This window comes from Homo sapiens, chromosome 3 (assembly GCF_000001405.40).
Source record: "Homo sapiens chromosome 3, GRCh38.p14 Primary Assembly".
Taxonomy (NCBI): Eukaryota; Metazoa; Chordata; class Mammalia; order Primates; family Hominidae; genus Homo; species Homo sapiens.
Window position 1 is genome coordinate 127,106,154 of NC_000003.12, and position 2,477 is coordinate 127,108,630.

Genomic DNA, 2,477 nt, shown 5'->3' on the forward strand with positions numbered 1-2,477 from the left:
TGTAACACTCCCACCCTGTGAGTAGGCGTCCAGGGCTGCATGAAGTCCCCAGGGCAGGCGGTGCCTCTGGGCTCCAAGCACAGGCCTCGGGGGGCTCCATCTGCCCACAAAGTCACCCCAAGGCCCCAGCCTGAGTTTGCCTGCCCAGTCTATGCTCACCCCAGTCCCAGGGGCCCTCTCTCTCTTGGCAGGGCAGTTTAGAAACAAAAGACTAGGTGTGGCCCCAGATGTGGGGTCCCTGCTACATCCGTGCCATGCCCTTGAGGGGATCACAATGTCCTTTTGCCAAAAACCAGCGCCCATTCAACTTCAAGTGTTCAGAAGGCCGAACTTTCTACTGCTCCTGTAAGAAAAAGGAACAGGTCCCATCCACGAAGCTCAGAACTGTGACTCCCAGGTGGGAAAGCAGCTCGATTGTATGCCAATGTGTCTACCTGAGAGGAGGGGATGGGCCTGCCCAGGAGACAGGAGAGAAGAGCTGCTCACAGAAGCCTCTCCAACCCAGTACCCTGCACCCTGCAACCGAGGCTGCAGAGGAGTAGCAGAGATGGAAACGGGGAACCCGGAGCCACGAGTGCCCAGGAATCGTTCACCCCTCACTGCATCCCTCTGAGCCAGTGACCTCCAGGCCTGCTGGGCACAAGGGGGGATCCCGGGCTGCCACCAGCCACACAGAAACTGAGTCCTCTGTGGGCAGCCAGAGCGGGGATGTGCGGTGAGCATTCAGTGCAGGCCCCATGTCAAAGGCGTAGTCCCCCAAAAAGAACAGAAAAGACCTCTTTGATCATTTTTGTATCGAATACATAATGGAGTGCTAACATTTTAGATATATTCAGTAAAATAAAATATATATTGAAAATTAATTTCACCTGTACCTTTTTACTTTTTAAAAATGTGGCTTGCAAAACATTTAAAATCATGTGTGTGGCTCTCATGACATTCCCGTGGACAGCGCTGATATGGCTGACAGACGCTTGAATGAATGAAGGCTTGAACACAGTCAGGGCCGTGGGCTGGGGCCCCCGCCTGGGGGTGGAGGAGAAGGCCCCACCTGTGCCTGGGAAGCGGTGCACCTCTCTGTGAGGCCCAGCTTCATCTGCCGATGAGGGTAATGGTTGTGCCTGTCGTCCAGGGCTGTTGTGAGGGTTAAATGAGATTGTCATCAACAAGGGTGAGAAATCATGAAATCTGCACACGAGGAGGCTCTCCCTGTTGCTCTGTAATGTGTCTGTGAAGCTGAAGGTACTGTCAGGGGATAATTCTCAAACCTTTTGTTGACCCGCAGGCTGTCAGCCAGTGGGTGAGGGGACTTCAGTTGGGAAGGGTCTGGGGTCAGGAGGCTTGGGCTTAAGTCAACTGGGCCTGGCACCCTTTCCAGCAGAAAAGTCCCTTGCACACTCACTAATAACAGCAGCCTCCACCTTCCAGGAGGGTAGGGTCCCATGCCGCTGCCTGCCCAGGGTCTTGGGTGAGCAGGGGCTGTTTGTGGGAGAAAATGGGGTTGGGTCCATGGAAGGAGAGGTGTGAGGCTTTTGATGAAGTGACAGCTGTCTGTGGGCCTTCTACACAGAGTGCACTGGGTGGAGAAAGCCCCTTGTCACCCCATGCACTCCCACCTCCCAGACCTGCTCAGCCAGAGGTGGAGAAAGGATGGCTCTGGACAGTGACAGGAGAGGAAGAGGTTTCCCTGCAGGGCGATGACCTGGCTTGTGCCTTAGAGGCAGGTGAATGTGTCCGCAAGAGGTGCGCCCAAGCAGAGGCAAATGGAGTGGAGATCCTGGGCCATCCCTGGCTCCTGGGCCTTTTCCTGATGCCTTTGAGGCTGGATTCTGGGCTCACACTTTCTCCTGCAACTCACGTTTTCGCAGGTGTCTCATGTTCCACCTGGGTTGGTCTACATGTGAGTGTTTCCAGAGGGGGTTGAAATGATGAGTGGGAAGTAGCAGAGCTACTGGGTCTGTCATCCATCTTTTGATTTCAGCAGGAAGCCCCACCTCACATGCCCATGGGGGCTGGCGGGGACCAGTGAAGCAGGCTGGTTCCAGACAGCAGTGAGCAGCGGGGGCTGGGCTGAAAGGGAGAGTATGGCCCGCAGAGGGGCAGTAGCTGCCCAGCTGAGGCCGATGCTTTCATGGGGAAATGTGGGCTCAGTTTTTCCAGGACTTTCTGTTTCTGGAGAAGTTAGAAAACTAGATTTGGGGGTAAAATCTAATTTGTAAATATTAGCAATAGTTCAATAATGATGATGATGATGACAGCATTATGTGGGCCAAATGAAACACATTATGGGGGGAATCCATTTGTGGCTTTGGACTAGGGGTTCTGACCTCTTATTTGTTGGTGTTCTACCAATCTCTTGTTTTGTTTTATTTATTTTAATTTTTAAAAGAATTTTTTAAAATGTTTGTGGGTACATTGTAGGTGTATATATTTATGGAGTACATGAGATGTTTTGATACAGGCATGCAATGCGTAAC

The 2,477-nt window shown here is 52.5% G+C and overlaps 1 annotated feature.

The window, feature by feature from the left end:
- Positions 1,428–1,928: an enhancer, noted in NCBI's record as "H3K4me1 hESC enhancer chr3:126826424-126826924 (GRCh37/hg19 assembly coordinates)". NCBI's record gives its function as "activates a minimal SCP1, AML or CMV promoter by ChIP-STARR-seq in primed H9 embryonic stem cells {active_cell/tissue: H9 hESC(primed)}" and the evidence as "EXISTENCE:reporter gene assay evidence [ECO:0000049][PMID:30033119]".